This window comes from Homo sapiens, chromosome 15, assembly GCF_000001405.40.
Source record: "Homo sapiens chromosome 15, GRCh38.p14 Primary Assembly".
Taxonomy (NCBI): Eukaryota; Metazoa; Chordata; class Mammalia; order Primates; family Hominidae; genus Homo; species Homo sapiens.
In genome coordinates this window covers 42,282,396-42,304,250 of record NC_000015.10, presented here as the reverse complement: position 1 = coordinate 42,304,250, position 21,855 = coordinate 42,282,396, and the positions used below count along the sequence as shown (strand labels likewise).

General features: G+C 39.7%; 1 protein-coding gene across 10 annotated transcripts in view; it reads right to left on the bottom strand.

Moving 5' to 3' along the window:
• The window catches only part of GANC (glucosidase alpha, neutral C), an 80,466-nt gene that overhangs the window by 49,416 nt on the left and 9,195 nt on the right, over positions 1-21,855 (bottom strand). For 6 of the 10 annotated variants that reach the window (NR_172055.1, NM_001393931.1, NM_001393932.1 and 3 more), the window contains one exon: positions 19,830-20,640. Coding sequence is in view for 9 of the 10 variants with exons in the window: in NM_001393931.1 (NP_001380860.1) it covers positions 20,210-20,640 (431 nt within the window). In the remaining variant the exon portion in view is untranslated. Of the gene's footprint in view, positions 1-6,594; positions 6,641-11,333; positions 11,517-16,432; positions 16,561-19,829; positions 20,641-21,855 lie in introns of those variants that run through there. The other 4 variants (NM_198141.3, NM_001393928.1, NM_001393929.1 and 1 more) reach the window with 1 other exon arrangement.

Sequence of the window (21,855 nt, the reverse complement as noted above, 5' to 3'; positions counted from 1 at the left end):
TTCAGGAGCAGGTTGTTCAGTTTCCATGTAGTTGTGCAGTTTTGACTGAGGTTTCTTAATCCTGAGTTCCAATTTGATTGCACTGTGGTCTGAAAAACTGTTTGTTATGATTTCCGTTATTTTCCATTTGCTGAGGAGTGTTTTACTTCCAATTACATGGTCAATTTTAGAGTAAGTGCGATGCGGTGCTGAGAAGAATGTACATTCTATTGATTTAGGGTGGAGAGTTCTGCAGATGTTTATTAGGTCTGCTTGGTCCAGTGCTGAGTTCAAGTCCTGAGTATCCTTGTTAATTTTCTGTCTCGTTAATCTGTCTAATATTGACAATGGGGTGTTAAAGTCTCCCACTATTATTGTGTGGAAGTCTAAGTCTCTTTGTAGGTCTCTAAGAACTTGCTTTATGAATCTGGGTGCTCCTGTATTGGGTGCATATATATTTAGGATAGTTAGCTCTTCTTGTTGCATTGATCCCTTTACTATTATGTAATGCCCTTTTTTGTCTCTTTTGATCTTTGTTGATTTAAAGTCTGTTTTATCAGAGACTAAGATTTCAACCCCTGCTTTCTTTTTTTTTTTTTTTCTTGGTAAATATTCCTCCCTCCCTTTATTTTGAGCCTATGGGTGTCTCTGCACGTGAGATGGGTCTCCTGAACACAGCACACTGGTGGGTCTTGACTCTTTATCCAATTTGCCAGTCTATGTCTTTTAATTGGGATATTTAGCCCGTTTACATTTAAGGTTAATAATGTTATGTGTGAATTTGATCCTGTCATTATGATACTAGCTGGTTATTTTGCCCATTAGTTAATGTAGTTTCTTCATTGTGTCAATGGTCTTTACAATTTGGTATGTTTTTGCAGTGGCTAGGGCTGATTTTTCCTTTCCATATTTAGTGCTTCCTTCAGGACCTCTTGCAAGGCAGGCCTGGTGGTGACAAAATCTCTCAGCATTTGCTTGTCTGTAAAGGATTTTCTTTCTCCTTTGCTTATGAAGCTTAGTTTGGCTGGATATGAAATTCTGGATTGAAAATTATTTTCTTTAAGAATGTTGAATATTGGCCCCCACTCTCTTCTGGCTTGTAGGGCTTCTGCAGAGAGATCCGGTGTTAGTCTGATGGGCTTCCCTTTGTGGGTAACCTGACCTTTCTCTATGGCTGCCCTTAACATTTTTTTCCTTCATTTCAACTTTGGTCAGGCTGATGATTGTCTTGGGATTGCTCTTCTTGAGGAGTAGTATCTTTGTGGTGTTCTCTGTATTTCCTGAATTTGAATGTTGGTCCGTCTTGCCATGTTGGGGAAATTCTCCTGGATAATATCCTGAAGAGTGTTTTCCAACTTGGTTCCATTCTCCCTGTCATTTTCAGGTGTATCAATCAAAGGTAGGTTTGGCCTTTTCACATAGTCCCATATATCTTGGAGGCTTTGTTCATTCCTTTTGATTTTTTTTTCTCTAATCTTGTCTTCACTCTTTATTCCATTAAGTTGATCTTCAATCTCTGATATCCTTTCTTCCACTTGATCAGTTTGGCTACTGATACTTGTGCATGCCTCATGAAGTTCTCATGCTGTGTTTTTCAGCTCCATCAGGTCATTTATGTTCTTCTCTAAACTGGTTATTCTAGTTAGCAATTCCTCTAACCTTTTTTCAAGGTTCTTAGCTTCCTTGCATTGGGTTAGAACATACTCCTTTAGCTTGGAGGAGTTTGTTATTACCCACCTTCTGAAGCCTACTTTCTGTCAATTTGTCAAACTCATTCTCCGTCCAATTTTGTTCACTTGCTGTTGAGAAGCTGTGATCGTTTGGAGGAGAAGAGGTGTTCTGGTTTTTGGAATTTTCAGCCTTTTGCGCTGGTTTTTCCTTACTTTCATGGATTTATCTACCTTTGCTCTTCGATGTTGGTGACCTTCGGATAGGGTTTTTGTGTGGACGTCCTTTTTGTTGATGTTGATGCTATTCCTTTCCGTGTTAGTTTTCGTTCTAACAGTCAGGCCCCTCTGCTGCACGTCTGCTGAAGTTTGCCGGAGGTCCATTCCAGACACTGTTTGACTGAGTATTACCAGCAGAGGCTGCAGAACAGCAAAGATTGCTGCCTGTTCCTTCCTCTGGAAGCTTAGTCCCAGAGGGGCACCCGCAAGATGCCAGCCGGAGCTCTCCTGTATGAGGTGTCTGTCAACCCCTGCTGGGAGGTGTCTCCTAGTCAGGAGGCATGGGGGTCAGGGACCCACTTGAGGAGGCAGTCTGTCCCTTAGCAGAGCTCGAGCACTGTGCTGGGAGACCCGCTGCTCTCTTCAGAGCTGGCAGGCACGAATGTTTAAGTCTGCTGAAGCTGCACCCACAGTTGTCCCTTCCCCCAGGTGCTCTGTCCCAGGGAGATGGGAGTTTTATCTATAAGCCCGATTGGGGCTGCTGCCTTTCTTTCAGAGATGCCCTGCCCAGGGAGGAGGAATCTAGAGAGGCAGTCTGGCTATAGCAGCTTTGCAAAACTGTGGTGGGCTCCACCCAGCTCAAAATTCCAGGTGCCTCTGTTTAGACTGTGAGGGGAAAACCGCCTACTCAAGCCTCAGTGATGGCGGATGCCCCTCGTCCCACCAAGATTGAGCATCCCAGGTCAACTTCAGACTGCTGTGGTGGCAGTGAGAATTTCAACTCAGTGGATCTTAGCTTGCTGGGTTCTGTGGGGGTGGGATCCACTGAGCTAGACCACTTGGCTCCCTGGCTTCAGCCCCCTTTCCAGGGGAGTGAAGAGTTCTGTCTCGCTGGTGTTCCAGGCGCCACTGGGGTATGAAAAAAAAAAACCCCTGCAGCTAGCTCGGTGTCTGCCCAAACAGCCACCCAGTTTTGTGCAGCCCTGGTGGTGTAGGCACCTGAGGGAATCTCCTGGTCTGTGGGTTACCAAGACCATGGGAGAAGTGTAGTATCTGGGCCAGAATGCACCATTCCTCACAGCACAGTCTCTCATGGTTTCCTTTGGCTAAGGGAGGGAGTTCCCTGATCCCTTGTGCTTCCCGGGTGAGGCAATGCCCCACCCTGCTTCGGCTCGCCCTCCATGGGCTGCACCCACTCTCTAACCAGTCCCAATGAGATGAGTCAGGGCACTTCAGTTGGAAATTCAGAAATCACCTGCCTTCTGTGTTGATCTTGCTGGCAGCTGCAGGCCGGAGCTGTTCCTATTCAGCCATCTTGCCAGCCACAGCATACCACATTTTCTTTCTTTCTTTCTTTTTTTTTTTTTGAGATGGAGTTTCACTCTTGTTGCCCAGGCTGGAGTGCAATGGCATCATCTTGGCTCACTGCAACCTCCACCTCCCAGGTTCATGTGATTCTCCTGCTTCAGCCTCCCTAGTAGCTGGGATTACAGGCATGCACTACCACGCCCAGCTAATTTTGTATTTTTAGTACAGACAGGGTTTCTCCATGTTGGTCAGGCAGGTCTTGAACTCCCAACCTCAGGTGATCCACCTGCCTCAGCCCCCTAAAGTGCTGGGATTACAGGCATGAGCCACACACCCAGTCCCATATTTTCTTTATCCAGTCTATCACTGATGGGCACTTGGGTTGGTTTCATGTCTTTGCTATTGTAAATAGTGCTGCAATAAACATACATGTGCATGTGTCTTTATAGTAGAATGATTTATATTCCTTTGGGTATATACCAAGTAATGGGACTGCTGGGCCAAATGGTATTTCTGGTTCTAGACCCTTGAGGACTCACTATACCATCTTCCACAATGGACTAATTTACATTTCCACCAAGAGTGTAAAAGCATTCCTATTTCTCCAAAGCCTCGCCAGCATCTATTGTTTTTTGACTTTTTAATAATCATCATTCTGACTGGTGTGAGATGGTATCTCATTGTGGTTTTGATTTGCATTTCTCTGATGATCAGTGATGTTGAGCTTTTTTTCATGTTTGTTGGCCACATAAATGTCTTCTTTTGAGAAGTGTCTGTTCATATCCTTTGCCTATGTTTTGATGGGGTTGTTTTTTTATTGTAAATTTGCTTAGGTTCCTTGTAAATTCTGGATATTAGCACTTAGGGTAGATTGCAAAAATTTTCACCCATTCTGTAGGTTGCCTGTTTACTCTGATGATCGTTTCTGTTGCTGTGCAGAAGCTCTTTAGTTTAATTAGATCCCATCTGTCAATTTTGGTTTTTATTGCATTTGCTTTTGGCGCTTTCATCACGAAGTCTTTGCCCACGCCTATGTCCTGAATGGTATTGTCTAGGTTTTCTTCTAGGGTTTTTATGGTTTTGGGTTTTACATTTAAGTCTTTAATTCATCTTGAGTTAATTTTTGTATAAGGCATATGGAAGGGATCCAGTTTCAGTTTTCTGCATATGGCTAGCCAGTTCTCTCAGCACCATTTATTGAATAGGAGATCCTTTCCACATTGCTTGTTTTTGTCAGGTTTCTCGAAGATCAGATGGTTGTAGATGTGTGGTGTTATTTGGTTATTTCTGAGGTCTCTGTTCTGTTCCACTGGTCTATATGTCTGTTTTGGTACCAGCACCATGCTGTTTTGGTTACTGTAGCCTTGTAGTATAGCTTGAAGTCAGGTAATGTGATGCCTCCAGATCTGTTCTTTTTGCTTAGGATTGTCTTGGCTATACGGGATCTTCTTTGATTCCATATGAAATTTAAGGTAGTTGTTTCTAATTCTGTGAAGAATGTCAATGGTAGTTTGATGGGAATAGCATTGAATCTATAAATTATTTTGGGCAGTAAGAAAACTTCAGGCCAATATCCCTGATAAACATCAATGTGAAAATCCTCAATAAAATACTGGCAAACCGAATTCAGCAGCACATCAAAAAATTTATCCACCACGATCAAGTCAGCTTCATCTCTGGGGCAAGGCCGGTTCAACATATGCAAATCAATAAACGTAATCCATCACATAAACAGAACCAAAGACAAAAACCACATGATTATCTCAATAGATGCGGGAAAGGCCTTTGATAAAATTCAACATCCTTCATGTTAAAAACTCTCAATAAACTACATATTGATGGAACATATCTCAAAATAATAAGAGCTACTTATGACGAACCCACAGCCAATATCACACTGAATGGGCAAAAGCTAGAAGCATTCCCTTTGAAAACTGGCACAAGACAAGGATGTCCTCTCTCACCACTCCTATTCAACATAGTAATTGGAAGATCTGGCCAAGGCAATCAGGCAAGAGGAAGAAATAAAGAGTATTCAAATAGGAAGAGAGGAAGTCAAATTGTCTCTGTTTGTAGACGACATGATTTTATATTTAGAAAACCCCATCATCTCAGCCCCAAAAAAATCCTTAAACTGATAAGCAACTTCAGCAAAGTCTGAGGATACAAAATCAATGTGCAAAAATCACAAGCATGCCTTTACATCCACACTAGACAATCAGAGAGCCAAATCATGAATGAACTCCCATTCACAATTGCTACAAAGGGAATAAAATACCTAGGAATACAGCTAACAAGGGATGTGAAGGGCCTCTTCAAGGAGAACTACAAACCACGGCTCAAGGAAATAAGCGAGAACACAAATGATAAAACATTCCATCCTCATGGATAGGAAGAATCAATATTGTGAAAAGTGCTCTTTTGAAGATACATGTGATTGGGGATGAAGAGAGAGAAGATTTCTGGAGTGTCCATTCTTCACAATTCAACAAAATAATCTTTTAAAAATAGAAATAAGACCATGCATCTCTGCTACTTAGAACCGTTCCAGAGTTTTCCTTTGCTCTTAGGAGAAACTCAGAAAGGTTAACATGGCTTGGAAGAAGGTAAGCTGCATGATAAATGGGGGACTTATATTTTTCAATGATGTCTCACCAATTCCATGAACAGTGCCTGGGATATAGGAGGTACTTAACAAATAATTGTTAGATAAAATAATTATTACAAATCTTTCCACAGCACTGCCCTGCGTGTCTTTCTAGCCTCGTTACATACCACCCTCCCCTTTGCTTTCCTTTCTCCAGATGAAATAAATATATATTGCATACATATTCCATTTCTTCAAATGGAATATGCTCCATCCTACCTCCACATCTTTGAATATGCAGTTCCCTCTACCTGGAACATTCTTTTCCCAACTTTTTGACTTGTGTATATACAACTTTTTGACTTGTGTAGACATCAGTTTCGGCTTTAACATTATTTCCCTCAGAAGGTCTTTCCTGACCCTCATCTTGGCCAGGTCCCTTGTATTCTCCTACAGCACCATTTTGTAACACTCCTCATGCTTGTAATTACTTACCCAATGTCTGTCTTTCCCAATAGATTCTAATTTCCATGAGAACATGTTTGGGATTTGTTTTATTCAAGGCTGATTCTCCTTGCCTAGCAATAATGCCTGGCAAAAAGTAGGCACTCAGGAAGCATCTGTTTTTATGAATGAATGAATGAATGAATGAATAAATGAATGAATGAATCAACGAGATGACAAGGTGAGCCGAAGAAACAAGTGGTCCTATTTATATGCAGTCGATCATTTAACAAGCACCCTTCTGTAGAAGGAAGAAAGAGAATTCCTTATATGCCCTATCATGATGATGATGGTGAAAAAGATAACAATAAATGGATCAATCTAGATTACCTGAGAGGTGTCCACTGATGTCTCCTCCTCATTTTCTTTAGCAGCTCTGTTTTAACGTAAATAAAGTTGTTTCACTCAATGGCAAGACTGACAGAATTTTGTTCAATGATAAAGATTTTTCATTTCCAACTTTTGAGACCTCAGTTATATCCTTTAATGTATTAAATATAACATCATTATAAAAATAAAAATGAACCCAGGTGCAGTGGTGCCTGCCTGTAATCCCAGCTACTTGGGAGGCTGAGGCTAGAGGGTCACTTGAGCCCAGGAGTTCGATGTCAGCCTGGGTAACATAGTGAGATCTCATCTTTAAACAATAAAAAACAATTTAAAAATGAGTTTATAAAATTGGACAGTAATGATGAACATTAATCTAATAGCTTCATTTCTTAATGTAGAAGTATTTTAATTTTGTTAACTCTTTAAAAAATACTTTTATCATTTTTTATTATAAATGTTAAACATGCTCATAATATTTCAACAAAATCTAAGTAAGCAAGGTAGAACATAGCTCCCTACACTCGGTGTAACTCTCCTCACTCCCAGAACACAGCACTATAATGTACAGTCTTTCAGAATGATTGTGACAATTTATTCTTCCACCCATAGTTGTATTTCAGTGCTCAGTTCCCCACATTCTTAACATTGCTGGACTTTATCAATCTTTCAGTTTTTGCCAATCTAAAATTGTAGAAAAAATAAATGCATTTCAGTTTGTATTTCTAAGAGCATGAATGATGTAGGCTAACTTTTATACATTTAATGGGCAACATAGTGAGACCATATCTTCCAAAAAAAAAAAAAAAGGAAAAAGAAAAAAAATATTTGAGTGAAAAATACATTACAAAAGAATATATACAGCATACTTTTATTACATAAAAGTTTTTTTAGAAAAGACGAATCCAAATAATATGTTGTTTGGGAATTCATACATATGTGGGAATCCAATTAAAAACCCCAAGGAGTCTGGGTGCGGCAGCTCACACCTGTAATATGGGCACTTTGGGAGGCCAATGCGGGTAGATTACCTGAGGTCAGGAGCTCGAGACCAGCCTGGCCAACATGGTGAAACCCTGTCTCTACTAAAAATACAAAAATTAGCTGGACGTGGTGGTGGGCACCTGTAATCACAGCTACTTGGGAGGCTGAGGCAGGAGAATTGCTTGAACCTGCAATTGGGAGGCGGAGGTTGCAGTGAGCTGAGATCGCACCACTGCACTCCAGCCTGGGCAACAAGAGTGAAATTCCGTCTTAAAACAATACAAAACTAAACTAAACCAAACCAAATCAAACCCAAGGAAGTGATTAACACAAAATTTAGTAAACTGGTTACCTCTGAAGGTAAGATATACTATGCTAACACCAATCAAAAGAGAGTAAGAGTAGATATATTAATTTCAGACAGAAGAGATTTCAAAGCAAGGAAAATTTGGGGGGATAAAAAGGGATATTACACAATGATAAAGGGATCAATACTCTAAGCAGACATAACAATCTTTTTTTTTTTTTTTTTTGAGACAGAGTTTTGCTCTTGTCGCCCCGCCTGGAGCAATGGTATGATCTCGGCTCACTGAAACCTCCACCTCCCAGGTTCAAGTGATTCTCCCACCTCAACCTCCCAAGTAGATGGAACGACAGGCACATGCCACCATGCCTAGCTAATTTTTTTGTATTTTTAGTAGAGACAGGGTTTCAGCATGTTGGCCAGGCTGGTCTCAAACTCCTGACCTCAGATGATCTGCCTGCCTCAGCCTCCCAAAGTGCTAGTATTATAGCCATGAGCCATTGTGCCCAGCTCAACGTAACAATCTTTAATGCGTGTATGAGTCTAACAGAGCATCAAACTATATAAGGCAAAAACTGATTTGTTGAGCTTTTTAGTCATTGTTAGGATGGAGTAGTGACTTCTAAGCTCCTTACATGCCAGACGGGAAACTGGAAGTCCTTGACTTTTAATTTTGTTCACGCTGTGTGTGTGTGTGTGTGTGTGTGTGTGTGTGTGTGTGTGTGTGTGTGTCTATAATAAAGCTTTTTTTCTTCTTGTGTTGCTTTCTGAGTAGAATCAAAGCTTAAAATGTGTAAGTAATCAAATCCATCAATCTTTTCCTTATGGCTCTTCAGTTTATGTCACACTCTCACAATTACAGAAATATTGTTTTATATTTTCTTCTATTTTTATGTCTTTTTATGTTTAATTTTTATTCATCTGCAATTGATTTTTGTTAATGTTATGAGGTTAAAATCTAACTTAAAATTTTTTCCAGTTAGATCATCTGATTTTCCTAACACAAATATAATTATAAATATAAATGTAAATCATGGAACTATAGCTACCAGTACAACCTCTATGGAAGGCAATTTGGCAATACCTATGAAAACTACAGGCGGGGCGTGGTCGCTCATGCCTGCAATCGCAGCACTTTGGGAGGCTGAGGCGGGCGGATCACGAGTTCAGGAGATCGAGATCATCCTGACTAACACAGTGAAATCCCATCTCTACTAAAAATACAAAAACAAAATTAGCCGGGCATGGTGGTGGGCGCTGTAGTCCCAGCTACTCGGGAGGCTAAGGTGGGAGAATGGCATGAACCCAGGAGGCAGAGCTTGCAGTGAGCCAAGATCATGCCACTGCACTCCAGCCTGGGTGACAGAGCGAGACTCCATCTCAAAAAAAAAAAAAAAAACTACAAATGCACAAACCATCTGATCAACAACTATCCTTTTATGACTCTATACTATAAATATACTTGTATATATGCACAATGACACATATTCAAGGTTATTAGTAAACTAACTAGTTGTAAAACAAGATTAGAAACAACTTTAAATCCCTCAATAGAGAATTTACTCAGTGAATCATGGTAAAGCCATACAACAGAAATTATGTAGCTGCTTTAAAGAAATTAAGAATTATCACATTGTTAACAGAAAAAAGCAAGGTGTAGAATAATGTGTAAAGGTGGCGCCATTTGTGTCAGGAAAGGAAAAGTCAAAGAATATATATAAAATGTGTATACATAAATTGTTTCTGAAAGGATACACAAAAAACTGGAAACACATTACTTTTTTTTTTTTTTTTTTTGAGACAGAGTCTTGCTCTGCTGCCCAGGCTGGAGTGCAATGGTATGATCTCAGCTCACTGCAACCTCCACCTCCTGGGTTCAAGAGATTCTTCTGCCTCAGCCTCTTGAGTAGCTGGGACTACAGGCATGTGCCACTATACCTGGCTAAATTTTTGTATTTTTACTAGAGACAGGGTTTCACCATGTTGGCCAGGCTGGTCTCGAACTCCTGACCTCAGGTGATCCACCTGCCTCGGCCTCCCAAAGTGCTGGGGTTACAGGCATGAGCCACCACACCCGACCAGAACACATTACTTTCAACGATGGAAAGTGGGCAGCTAGAGGACACAGGGGGAAGGAGATTCTTTACTATTATTACATAGAAATGTGTATTAATATATACTCCTTTGTACCATGTGCCTCTTCTACATAAGTAAGTAAAAGGATCAACTTAGATAGGAAAGAAAACAATGTTTAAAAGAAAACAGAACAAAATCATCGGGGTTTACAAAAGAAAAAAAAGCGTTTTTTGTTTGTTTGTTTTGAGACAGAATCTCGCTCTGTTGCCCAGGCTGGAGTGCAGTGCCACAGTCGCAGCTCACTGCAGTCTTGACCTCCTGGGCTCAAGTGATCCTCCTACCTCAGCCTCCCAAGTAACTGGGACTACAGGCATGTGCTATTAAACTCAGCTAATTTTTTTGTATTTTTTTGTAGGACAGGGTTTCACCATGTTGCCCAGGCTGGCTTCAAATTCCTGGGCTCAACTGATTTGCCACCTCGGCAAAAGTGTTATGATTACAGGTGTGAGCCACTGTGCCTGGCTAGAAAAAAGGCTTTACATATAAAGAACATGAGTAGTGGGTACACAGATATTTGTTCTGCTATTATTAGTATTTTTCAGTTAAACAAGTACTTGACTATTCATAAGGCACTAAGAGAGTAGGTGGAGAGATTATGGGGATTTTAAATTTTCTTCTTTTCAATATTTTCTAATCTGCCTATGATGAACAAGTATTAGTTCTGAGATGAGAAAATGAGATATTTTTAGTATCAAAATTTTAAAACAGAAATGAGTTGAAACTCAGAAAAATGACTATGTTGGAATAATGAATGTTGAATGCTTTCTGCAGATCATATAATACGTTTATTATCATGATAAAAATAGAAAGAACTATAGACTAAAAGATTTAAAAACAGTGTTCGTAAGAATGGAATAAGAATCTCCTCCTTACCACCACCTCCTAATTCATGTGAGCACCCCACATAAACAGCTTTGATCAAGCAGATGGTCCCAGAAAATTCCTGGACAACTATTCAAGTCTAGGGTAATTTGTGTTATTGCAAGGGAGTGAAGTGAAATTACGAAGGTATGCTAGTTCACATTAACATTTGTCAGGTCAACAGAGTGCTTTTATAGAAGGGTGTGCAGGGTAGAGAATGCCATCAGTTACACACAGGACATGTTAAGAGTGTAACATTTACAAAAGTTTGGGAATTATTTTTGTCATAAAGCTTGTATTCACCTTCACAGGTGAAAAGGTAAAATTTCTCAGAACAATACTAGAGCAAATAAGGCAAACCAATTTTCTATGGTGCTATGTTATCTATTTAGGCAACTGATATTCATTAACCAGGTTATGTTAAGGTCTTTATGTGTCAAGTAATGCATAAGAATACCTTTGTTTGTGAAGAATCTGTAGATGCTCAAAGTATAATTGGCCCAGGGAATTTATGCTAATCACAACCTCTTCTTCAGACACCAAGTCTACCTTGAATGGGTTTGCTGTGATATGGCACTTCAGGTCTCCTTTTCCATCTGCCAATATCAGACTGCCTGTGTCCCCAGAGCATGAAATCAGCCTAGAAAACAAAACAGGAAGAGAGAAACAAGCTGCTATAGGTTTACATGGCCCTATGTGATTTGTACTTCCAAGTAATTAATTAGTAAATCAATATTCATGTGACATAGCCATAGATAAGGCAACAGAGAAAAGTTAATGAGAGCATTGGCTTTGATGCCAAAGAGCTTAAATTGAGCATAACTCTATCATATACGTTATAACTTCGGATAACAAAGTTATCCAACTTTTCTAGGTCTTGGTTTCCTTATCTGTAAAGTGAAAATAACAAAAGCAACAACAAAGTTTTTGGAGAGAATTAAATGAGATCACATGTGTAAAGCTCTTGACACAGTGCCAGACACATTAAAAAAAAAAACACACAGTAAATGTTAGCTATCATCGTTGTCATCATCATCACCTTGGTCTGGAAGGTCTAGTAACTTTCTAGATTTTGGTGTGTAAAATCTAACTATTGTTTTTCTTTCTCATTCCAAACACATACTCAGAAACTGAGGAAATAACACAGATTGGGTCCATCTCTCCACAGTGAGATGGAACCAGGTCAAATTTTTATTTACCTATTTATTGCCTGATTCCCACCAGCCTCCAATTTCACAGGTACATTGTTAGGATGTTTTAGATCCACAAGAATTATGTAAGCTCAGACACAGCACTTAAAATCCCTCAAAGCTAGATATTTCCCTTTCTCCAGTGCACAGTGTCCCCAGTAAATGTTCACAGGACTCTTTCAGGAAGGTAAAAAGAGACAGTTTATGTTCTTATGATGTCTTTTCAGTCCTCCATGGATTCTATGCCTTCTCTTCAAGCAAGATGCTTAGGATCTGGAAATTAACTCTGGAGACAGCTGAGAGGCTGTCTCTCACTATCCATTGAACCCAGACAGAGTTCTTTTGATGATTCCATTAAGTAGGACTGTAGTTCATATATGTCAGTCTAATGCACCCCACCATAAATTGCTTACTGCCCCAAGCGTTAAACCATTTTGAGTACTACATGGGTCCTACCACACATAATGGAATTATGTTCACCTTGTCTCTGACAATTAAATGTTTCTACTCTGCCTCTGCTACCTGGAGTCTCATTATCTCCACTGAAATCAGGGAGACCATTTTAACGGCATCATTTCCCACCATTATCTCCAGCCCACAAAAGGAAGATGTTCACTACAATGCTTTCCAAGTGCTCCCTCATCAGTTTCTCAGTGAAGGGGGTATGTTCTGGATTCTCGTGGGGAACAGAATCCAGAGGGGCTAGATGAGCTGGTTGCATGAAACAAATCCACTTCAACATCTTTATCTCTCTAAGTCTGTGGATCATTTCCTCTACACCATGCCAAGGAATTCCTGATATCTCAGCTTCATTCAGAAGAATCCATAGCTGAGTTCAGATTATAATTAACCAACTATGCCATCAATTAGAGCCATTCTCAGTTGCCCAAGCTAGCATATCAAATCTACATTATCTGGTATGTGTACCTGAGTCAATAAATTTAGCCTGATCTACAATTAAGTTCCTTCTTTCTGGTCTAGGAATTCCTCAGAAACCATTTCCATTCATATTTCCCAGGTTTTTTTTGCATTATATAGTCTTATAATTTTTCAGGCATGCAAGCCTTCTCCCCCGGGTTTGACTGTAATTGGCTCTCTGGGCATGTTGGGATCTGACTCTGATGATGGGTCTGGAGGCAGTGAAGGGTGGTAGGGGTCGGGCACAGGAGAATTGGAATCCCCGTGCATGTATATTTTAGGTGAGGTCAATACAGGGTATCCAAGCAAGGCAGGATCAGCTTCACCTGCCTTTATAGGAGGGGTTGCTTCTGCTGAAATGGGAGGGCCAGTGAAATTTTGAGGTTTGACTATTTAGAATTACCCAACTCTTCCCAAATATTGTTATTCAATTTTTAAAAAAAATTGTTTATTTTTTTAGAGACAGGGTCTTGCTCCATCACCCAGGCTGGAGTGCAGTGGTGCGATCATAGTTCACTGCAGCCTTAAACCACTGGGGTCAAGTGATCCTTTCACCACAGCCTCCTGAGTAGCTAGGACAACAGGTGTGTGCTACCATGCCCGGTTAGTTTTTTAATTTTTTATAGAGATGCAGTCTTACTTTGTTGTCCAGTCTGGTCTACAACCCTTAACCTCAAGCAATCCTCCTGCCTTGGCCTCCCAAAGTATTGGGATTACAGGTGTGAACCACTGCACTCAGCCTGCTATTCAATTTTGAGGAGTCCTACGTTTTCCCAGTTAATGCCTGAAATTAACTTATGGACTAATTCAGTGACCTGCAATATCAAACTCTGCATCTGATTTTCAGCTATATGTACCTGCAGCTACAGAAGATATGAGGACTTTTAGGATTGTCACAGAAAATTAACAATCTTCTGACAATACCTTGAGCTAAGAATTTAAAGCCCTGAGACTATTGTTTTCTTTCTTTAAACTCTTCAGTGAAGTTGTAGCAGCCAAGCCACCTCAGAGCTCTGAATTCTGCATGATAATCAGAATGCAGTATGGCCCTACCTCTTGGTCTGCTTTCAATGGGCCACTTTATTTTAGTTGACCACCAGTGGTCATTTAAGTAACATTGCCACAGAATTTTGTGGTCTATTATTAGTTCTATTAGTTTGGCAGGGCTGCCATAAGAAAATATCAGAAACTGGGTAGCTTGAACAACAGAAATTTATTTTCTCATAATTTTTGAGGCTAGAAGTCAAAGATCAAGGTGTCAGAAAGTTGAGTTTCTTGTGAGGCCTATTTCCTGGGCTTGCAGATGGCTGCCTTATCACTATGTCTTCACGTGGTTGTCCCTCTGTGCCTGCATCTGTGTCCTAATCTCCTCTTCTTACAAGGGCACCCAGGTATAATGGATTAGAGCCTACCCTAATCATCCCATTTTAACTTATTTACTGCTTTAAAGACCCTATCTCAAAATATAGTCACATTCTGAGGTACTAGAGGTTAGGGCTCAACACCTGAATTTTGGGATAACACAATTCAGCCTGTAACAGTAGTATCCCATTCTCTATAGGTAAATACATCCTCACTGCCTCCAAATCCAGCTAGGTCAGCCAGCCAATCTCATACTCCCATCCTTGAGAGGCTGTTGCTTATATTCATTTATAATACCAACTACTTTATCAACCAAGGCTCAATTGTAGAAAACAAAAACAACTCTGGCTATTTTAAGCAGAAAATAAATGACTTCATATGGATAATTTGTTGCTTACAACATCACGGGAAGGGTTGAGGTAGTAGGTTCCAGGCTGCATGTCCAGGAATGACCCCCTAGAACAATACTGTGTAACTGTATGGCCAACTGACCTTCTATCTTAGCTAGAATCAGGAAGTTGAGTTATCAGAAGTCACTATGACAACTGCTGGGCTCTAGGATCATGCCACCTTAGCTATGATTCAGAGATGAGTAAATCATGGCCTTAACTAATGGCCTTAGAGCCACTCTACAGGTGCCAAATCCATATAAGCAAAATGGGGAACTCAGTTCTGAAATCAAGGTTTTTTTAAGTGCATCTGATTGGTGGAAACTGAATTATATCAGAACCTGTAGCTACAAGGGAGTCTGGGAAATGAAGAAACGTAGTTTTTAGCTTTCCAGTTACTACAGTAGCCAAAGGCCCTCTAGAAAGAACTCAGTACAGAAGCAGAATTAATACCATATTTACCATACCAAGTGAATTATCACCTGGACCCTAAAACATGGCAAAGACAGCACGGAAAGAGAAAATTACAGATTAACTTACTTACGAACACAAGTGTAAAAATTGTGAAGGCTGTACTATCCTTCAGGATAGTAGAAAATAACATACTGTGGCCAGGAGGTTATATGTATGCATTGATTCAATTGTCAAACTGCAAAAGCCTTGAGAAACAGTCTCTTTTAAGTTCTTATTTAGGGCAGGCATGGTGGCTCATGCCGATAACCCCAACACTTTGGGAGGAAGAGGAGGGAGAATCATTTGAGGCCAGGAGTTTGATACCAGCTGGGGTAACACAGCAAGACTCTGTCTCTATTAAAAGAAAAAATTAAATTAAAAAAAATTATGTTTACTAAGTTATTGGCATATAGTGTGGCTCAGTGAATAGATATATTTTAAACTTTTGATGATTCTATCATAACTGAATTCATTTCTCATTATAATGTATTGACCTTTTATAAGATTTTCATGGAAAAAATAATCTACATAAAACTACAGTAATGATATAGTAAAAATGAAAGCATCTGGCATAATCTGATATTCCTTTAGTGAAATAATATGACAATATAATGGAAACCAACCGGCAAAACTGAGTTGAAATATCACTGGAAAGTGTTATGAGAAGAGATTAAAGTTTTGCAGGTACTTGAAAATGCTTTAGTCCCCAAAGATTGTTTTTCACCTAGACACTGATTATTAATTTACCTTGACACTAAGTAAAATTACATGTTAGACTTCTGAGAATAACCTTAATTAAGTGAGTCCGTCCAATAGTATAAATTACTGTAAGTATGGGAGTTTGGCTAGCGTATTAGATCTCCGGAGCCCTGCTGCTAATCTGAGTGAGTAATAAGTAGCTTTCCTTCTACTTGCTCCCATAGTCTGGCTAATAAAACCACTTTCTTTGTGAGAAGGAGAGCAGGGATCAAAGTTCTGCTTCTCCCCGTTAAATAAATCCTGATGAATCAAATGGTGGATGAAGAAAAAACAGAATGGATAATAAGGAAAATGGATAGACTTATCCCCAAATAACTGAATACATTAAAAGTAATGGCAAAAACCACAATTACTTTTACACCAACCTAAATGACTGTAGTTTTGAGCAGCCAAAATAAGAAGTGCACATAACAAAATTTATTACTCAAGATATGATAAAAGAATATATCAAGCGTGTCTCTAAAATACCTCGCTCCTTGGCTTACCTTACAGTGCTTGGCTTGCTTGTGAGGACATCCGGAACTTCAAATCTGGGTTTTAGAGGAGTCTCTTCATTAATTTTAAGCCTGAAAATGTTTCCTTCTATACCATAAATTTCAGCCAGGAGAGGAACCTGGAAACAGATACAAGAGATTACCTTCAACAGGTTACCCAAGTGATGGCCAATTTTGCACCAATTACAATAATTAGGAAAGTATTTGTTTCAATTATGATAGGCCAAGCAAATTGGAGAACAATGGCAATTAAAAAAAAAAGCTCCCCAGTTTATGTATGTACTTGCTTGACTATAGCTACAGCAGCAACAAGAAATATCTCCTATGTGTTCTGTGGCTAGGTGAACATAAAATTGTCAAACCAGGATCTTCAGAGTGAAAGAAGTCTCTATTAATAATTACACTGAAAGACAGGCATAAACTGAAACTTGCCTTGGAAGATTGGGACATGTGGCTACTGTATCTATGATAAACTACAGATACATTAAGAATAAGAGTTTGCCTGTTAAAAGCAGAGTAACTAGATTCCAGCTGGATGAAAGATGAAGGGTGGCAGGCTACAGAAGAGAAAACAGTACAGAATAAAATGATGATCATTGGAGTTCTCTAGTGGTGGATGAAAGGAGGCTTGGTGCACTAAAATCAAACTGGAATTGATTTTTCACAGCTGGGAAAATAGACCCGGGGAACTTTTACAAGAGGCTGGGGAACCTAAGTAAAATTCTGCCTACCGTGGGACACGGAAACAATGTAGAATCATGAAGATAATAGAGAATTTGAAAAATAAAACACAGAACAAGAAGCTCTAGGAGAACAGAAATGACAGGACTCAGGCTACAAAATGAGCACCTAGAAAAATATTTTAAGACCATGGTTTTCAACTGGTGGGCCATGCCACACTAGTCAATTGCAATTTCCTCACGAAGTATGATGCCAAATTTTGGTTACTACTGGGTGCCTGTGTTGTTACTATTATGTCTGTTAAATGACAGCTAAACTCGGTAAGTTGTGTGACATAGCTTAGAATGGGTACAATGTGGTGCAAGTAAAAGATAAGAAATATGAAGAATACCAAGCCAGCACCAAAAACATGATGTTACTGGAACTTTGCCTCTTGCGAAAACAGGGAAGCAATCAGGGCAGTTAAACTGTAACATGATAATGAACAGTGAACAAGTAAACAGTGCTATGGCTGTGGATCCTTTTCTAGATATTCTAAGGCAGGGTTATGATGCAATAGTGATCATACTGTAATTACTGCTTGCATGTTTAATGTTCTTTTATGTATTTAAACTACTTTTAGCGTACAATCAAAATTTTAACATTTGGAAATATGTCCAAGTACAAAGTTCAAATTCTGTTAGATTATGTATTTTCTCACTATTTAAACATGTGTTTCCATTGCTCTCTCAAATTCCATTCAATTAACATTTATTTGGCATCTATTATTGCAATGATTGAACTTTTGGGGAGGCTGAAATTGGAGGAGATAAAAGAGATGCAAAGCTAACACAGAGCATTCTGTGATAAGTTTTAAAACAGAAAGGCAAGAGATTAAGAAGGGTTATTAATGATGACTGTAGGGTTAGAAGTTCTGGACATTTCTCTAGAGGAATAGAGATTTAAGCAGGGCCTTCAGGAATTAGTAAGACTTTGAGTAGGCAAAAATGGGCAAGAACTTCCTAAGCAGGGGGCATATAGGTGGTCTGCCTATATATGATTAACAATTTACATTTAGTTATTCACTCAGAGATTGTCCCATTTTTAGTAAAACAGCTTTCTCTACAAAAAAAAAAAAACTAATTTTTGTTTAAACCAAAGACTGATCTGTATGTTCTGTTCCTGAGGCTGCAGCCCAGGGGGGAAAAGAGAGCAATAACCCTGTTTTCACTATAATGACTTCATGTATAAATCAGAGTTAATCCTCATTTTAATTTAGCAATCTAATTTTAGCAAAAATCACTCTGAAATTTAGCAATATTTACAGTCATTCTTTCTTTAAATTTATTTATTTTGAGATGGAGTCTTGCTTGGTCACCCAGGCTGGAGTGCAGTGGCGCAATCTTGGCTCACTGCAACCTCCGCCTCCTAGGTTCAAGAGATTCTTGTGCCTCAGCCTCCTGAGTAGCTGGAATTACAGGTGCGTGCCATCACACCAGGCTAATTTTTGTATTTTTAATAGAGATGGGGTTTCACCATGTTGACCAGGCTGGTCTCAAACTCCTGACCTCCAGTGATCCTCCTGCCTCAGCCTCCCAGAGTGCTGGGATTACAAGTATGAGCCACTGTGCCTTATCTCTTATTATCACCAACATAGCTTTCTTGGTCCAGGCTCTACTTTCCTTAGACCTTAGTATGCATTTCCTCCTATGATCTGGGCTCATGTGTTTTTTCTTTCTTTCTTTCTTTCTTTTAAATATCAGCAGACTCCCAGAAGTCCAATAAGTAAAGCCACTTGGGTTAAAGACAGTGGGGAATGGCTCAGTGTCCCACCTTAGAGTCCCCTGCCTTCCCTGTACTGAGTCCTAAGTCACCTCTGTCGAAACCTTAGGGCTCTGTGGATGACAGTTTAAATGCCACTTCCCTGAGGCTTAACTGCCAGTTCTTTCCCAATCCTTCCACCACATCCTTGCTCTTTCAAAAAGTTTGGACATGACTGTTATATTCTTCTACCTAAAACAGTAAACATTTGTAGATATTCCTTTCCTATTTGCTAGGACCTGCTGGATATTTATAAATAAAATAATATACAAATAAACTATCAAATCTCTTCCTCCTGTTAGTGATGATTGGAAATGACAATGAAAAAATACATTAAGAAGTTAGAGATGCTGGACTGCTTAAATTGAGAATCTAGTATTAATCCTTAGATAATATAAGTAGTTACACTCAATTGTAGCCAGGTCAATTTATGTAAAATGAACATACATCTAATAATTTTAAATGGATAGTTAAAATGAGGTGAGAGAGCATGTGTTTTGCTCCCTTAGAAGTATTTAAGACATGCCAGTGGGTGGTACATGCATATAGCCCCAGCTACTCAGTGGGGCTGAGGCAAGAGGATTGCTTGAGCCTAGTAGTTTGAGGTTACAGTGTGCCATGACTGCACCTGTGAGTAACCACTGCACTCCAGCCTGAGCAACACAGTGAGACCCCATCTCTTTAAAAAATTTAAGATGTGTTAATATCCAATTACACAGAGAAGCTGAGATAAATCCTCAGAGAAAAGAATAAATTTTGGAGGTTCATTTTAGTACTACAAGCCTCTACTCAGTTTTTCACATACCTTTACTTAGAAGCCCGCCTCTCAGTCTGGGAAAAAGAGTATTAATTCTCTTTTTCTATCTTATTTCTCCCTTATTAAATAAAAACAATTAAAACTTGGTGGTTTGTTATCCACAAATCTAGTTTTTTTAATGGCCATATAGGCGAAAATACCAGATATTTTGTAAACATCATGGTGGTAGAAATAGCTTTGTCTATGTCTTCAAGCATAGTGTTGATCACAATTACATTAAAACAAAAACTTTTTATTCACCCAGAACTGGGAATCACAATTAGTAAAGACCATAATAGAATTAACAAACAGCCCTAGAACACATATTTAAATTTGCAGTGGGTGTTAAGTAGGAAAATTATGACTCCATCAACTCTTCCTTGGTAGGTTGATCTTGCTTTTCCTGAGGCACCAGGACTCTTCACTGTTATGTAAAGAACTGTTAACCTAAAAGACATAGAACAGTGAGTGGCCACCTCTACCAGCTGTGATCAAGACCTCCCGGGATCCAGAGGATGGTCTAATAGTTCATTAAATTGCTGTAGGACACTAATTGTCCCTTCTACAGTTGCAGCCAGTTGGTTTATTGCAAGCACTGATTTTCTACAAAGAATACTGGCAACCTCACGCTGGGCACTGGCCTGTTCCCCAAGGACAACTGGCCTGTCCAGGTGTGCTTCTGATTGTCTGGCCAGTTCCCAAATTAGCTGCCTGTTCCTGGCCATTTCTGCAGACACAGTACTGGCTAATAAGCGGTAGTTGTGCCTTATCTGCTGAGAAGGTGGCTGGTTGGGCAAAGCTTCATTTTCATTAGGCTTAGATGAAGAGGCAAGGGGTAACTTCACAGAGGTGCTCAGAGATATTCCTGCATCCTCGGAGAAGCTGCTGGAAGTGTTGTCTCTGGTGAAACCTTGCAAACAGGCTGCAAAAGAAAATAAACGTGTTGCCAAATGGTCACCTATATCATGAGAAAGCATCATAATTAGCAATATAAAGTAGATTGCTCCAGACATCCTTGCTAGCAATGCTATTTAAGCTAGACTCACAAGACAGCATACATTTTCCTTTGCCTAGATCACAAGACTAGATCTCTCTTTCTCAATCCAGACCAAATTTTCACTGACGATAGAAAACTGATAGTAGTAGGAAAACAACAACAACAACTGAGTTCTACAAAAGCAGTCAACACTTTCCTGATCACTTTCTATTTTCTGGAAACTTCTTTACTAAATATCTACCTGATTATTCTGTCATCAGGAATAAGCACAACACTATATTAGGACCCTATGTGAGAAAACTTATGCATCTGAACACGCAACCAGCTTTTCTCCAAAGCCTGGACGTTCCGACCTTGCAACAACACACAGGTCAACATTCTAGCTTGTTTTGGAACAGATCTATGTCCTGGAACATCATGTTTGCTATGGACTGAATGGTGTCTTCCCAAAGTTTCCTATTAAAGCCCTAACCCACAATATGATGGTATTCAGAGATGAAGCCCTTGGGAGGTAATTAGGTTTAGATGAGGTAACGAGGTTGAGGAAGTCCTCAGGAATGGATTAGTGCCCTTATAAGAAAAGACGGGAGAGCTTGTGTACACACTCTCTCTCCACTATGCGAGGGCACAAGAAGAAGGCAGCCATCTACAAACCAAGAAGAGAGCCCTCACCAGACAGTGAAGCTGCTAGCACCTTGATCTTGGAATTTACAGCCTTCAGAACTGCGAGAAATAAACATCTGTTGTGTAAGCTGCCTAGCCTGTGATATTTGGTTATGGCAGCCTAACCCAATGTTGAATGAAGCTTGGTTCTGCTTCCTGGTTGTTTATTAAGGAGCAGATTGGGGAAGGGAATTGAGAGGGAGAAATTCAAAAATTAACAAATCTTGACAACTCCAAAGTTACTGCTTTAAGGGTTTTAAAGGTGTAGGGGCAGGCAGGCACCAAGAGTGTTGGATTTGTCAGAATCTGCCTGATCAGTGTAATTTGAGAACTGCAGCTGTGAGCTGAATATGATCCTCTTAGACTCTGGGCTGTCCCTCTTGACCTGAAATAAAAAGCTATCATTCTGAATAAGTGGATGTATGCAGCTTATTTTAAAACTTCAGATCACACTCATACCATATCTTAATGTGCAAT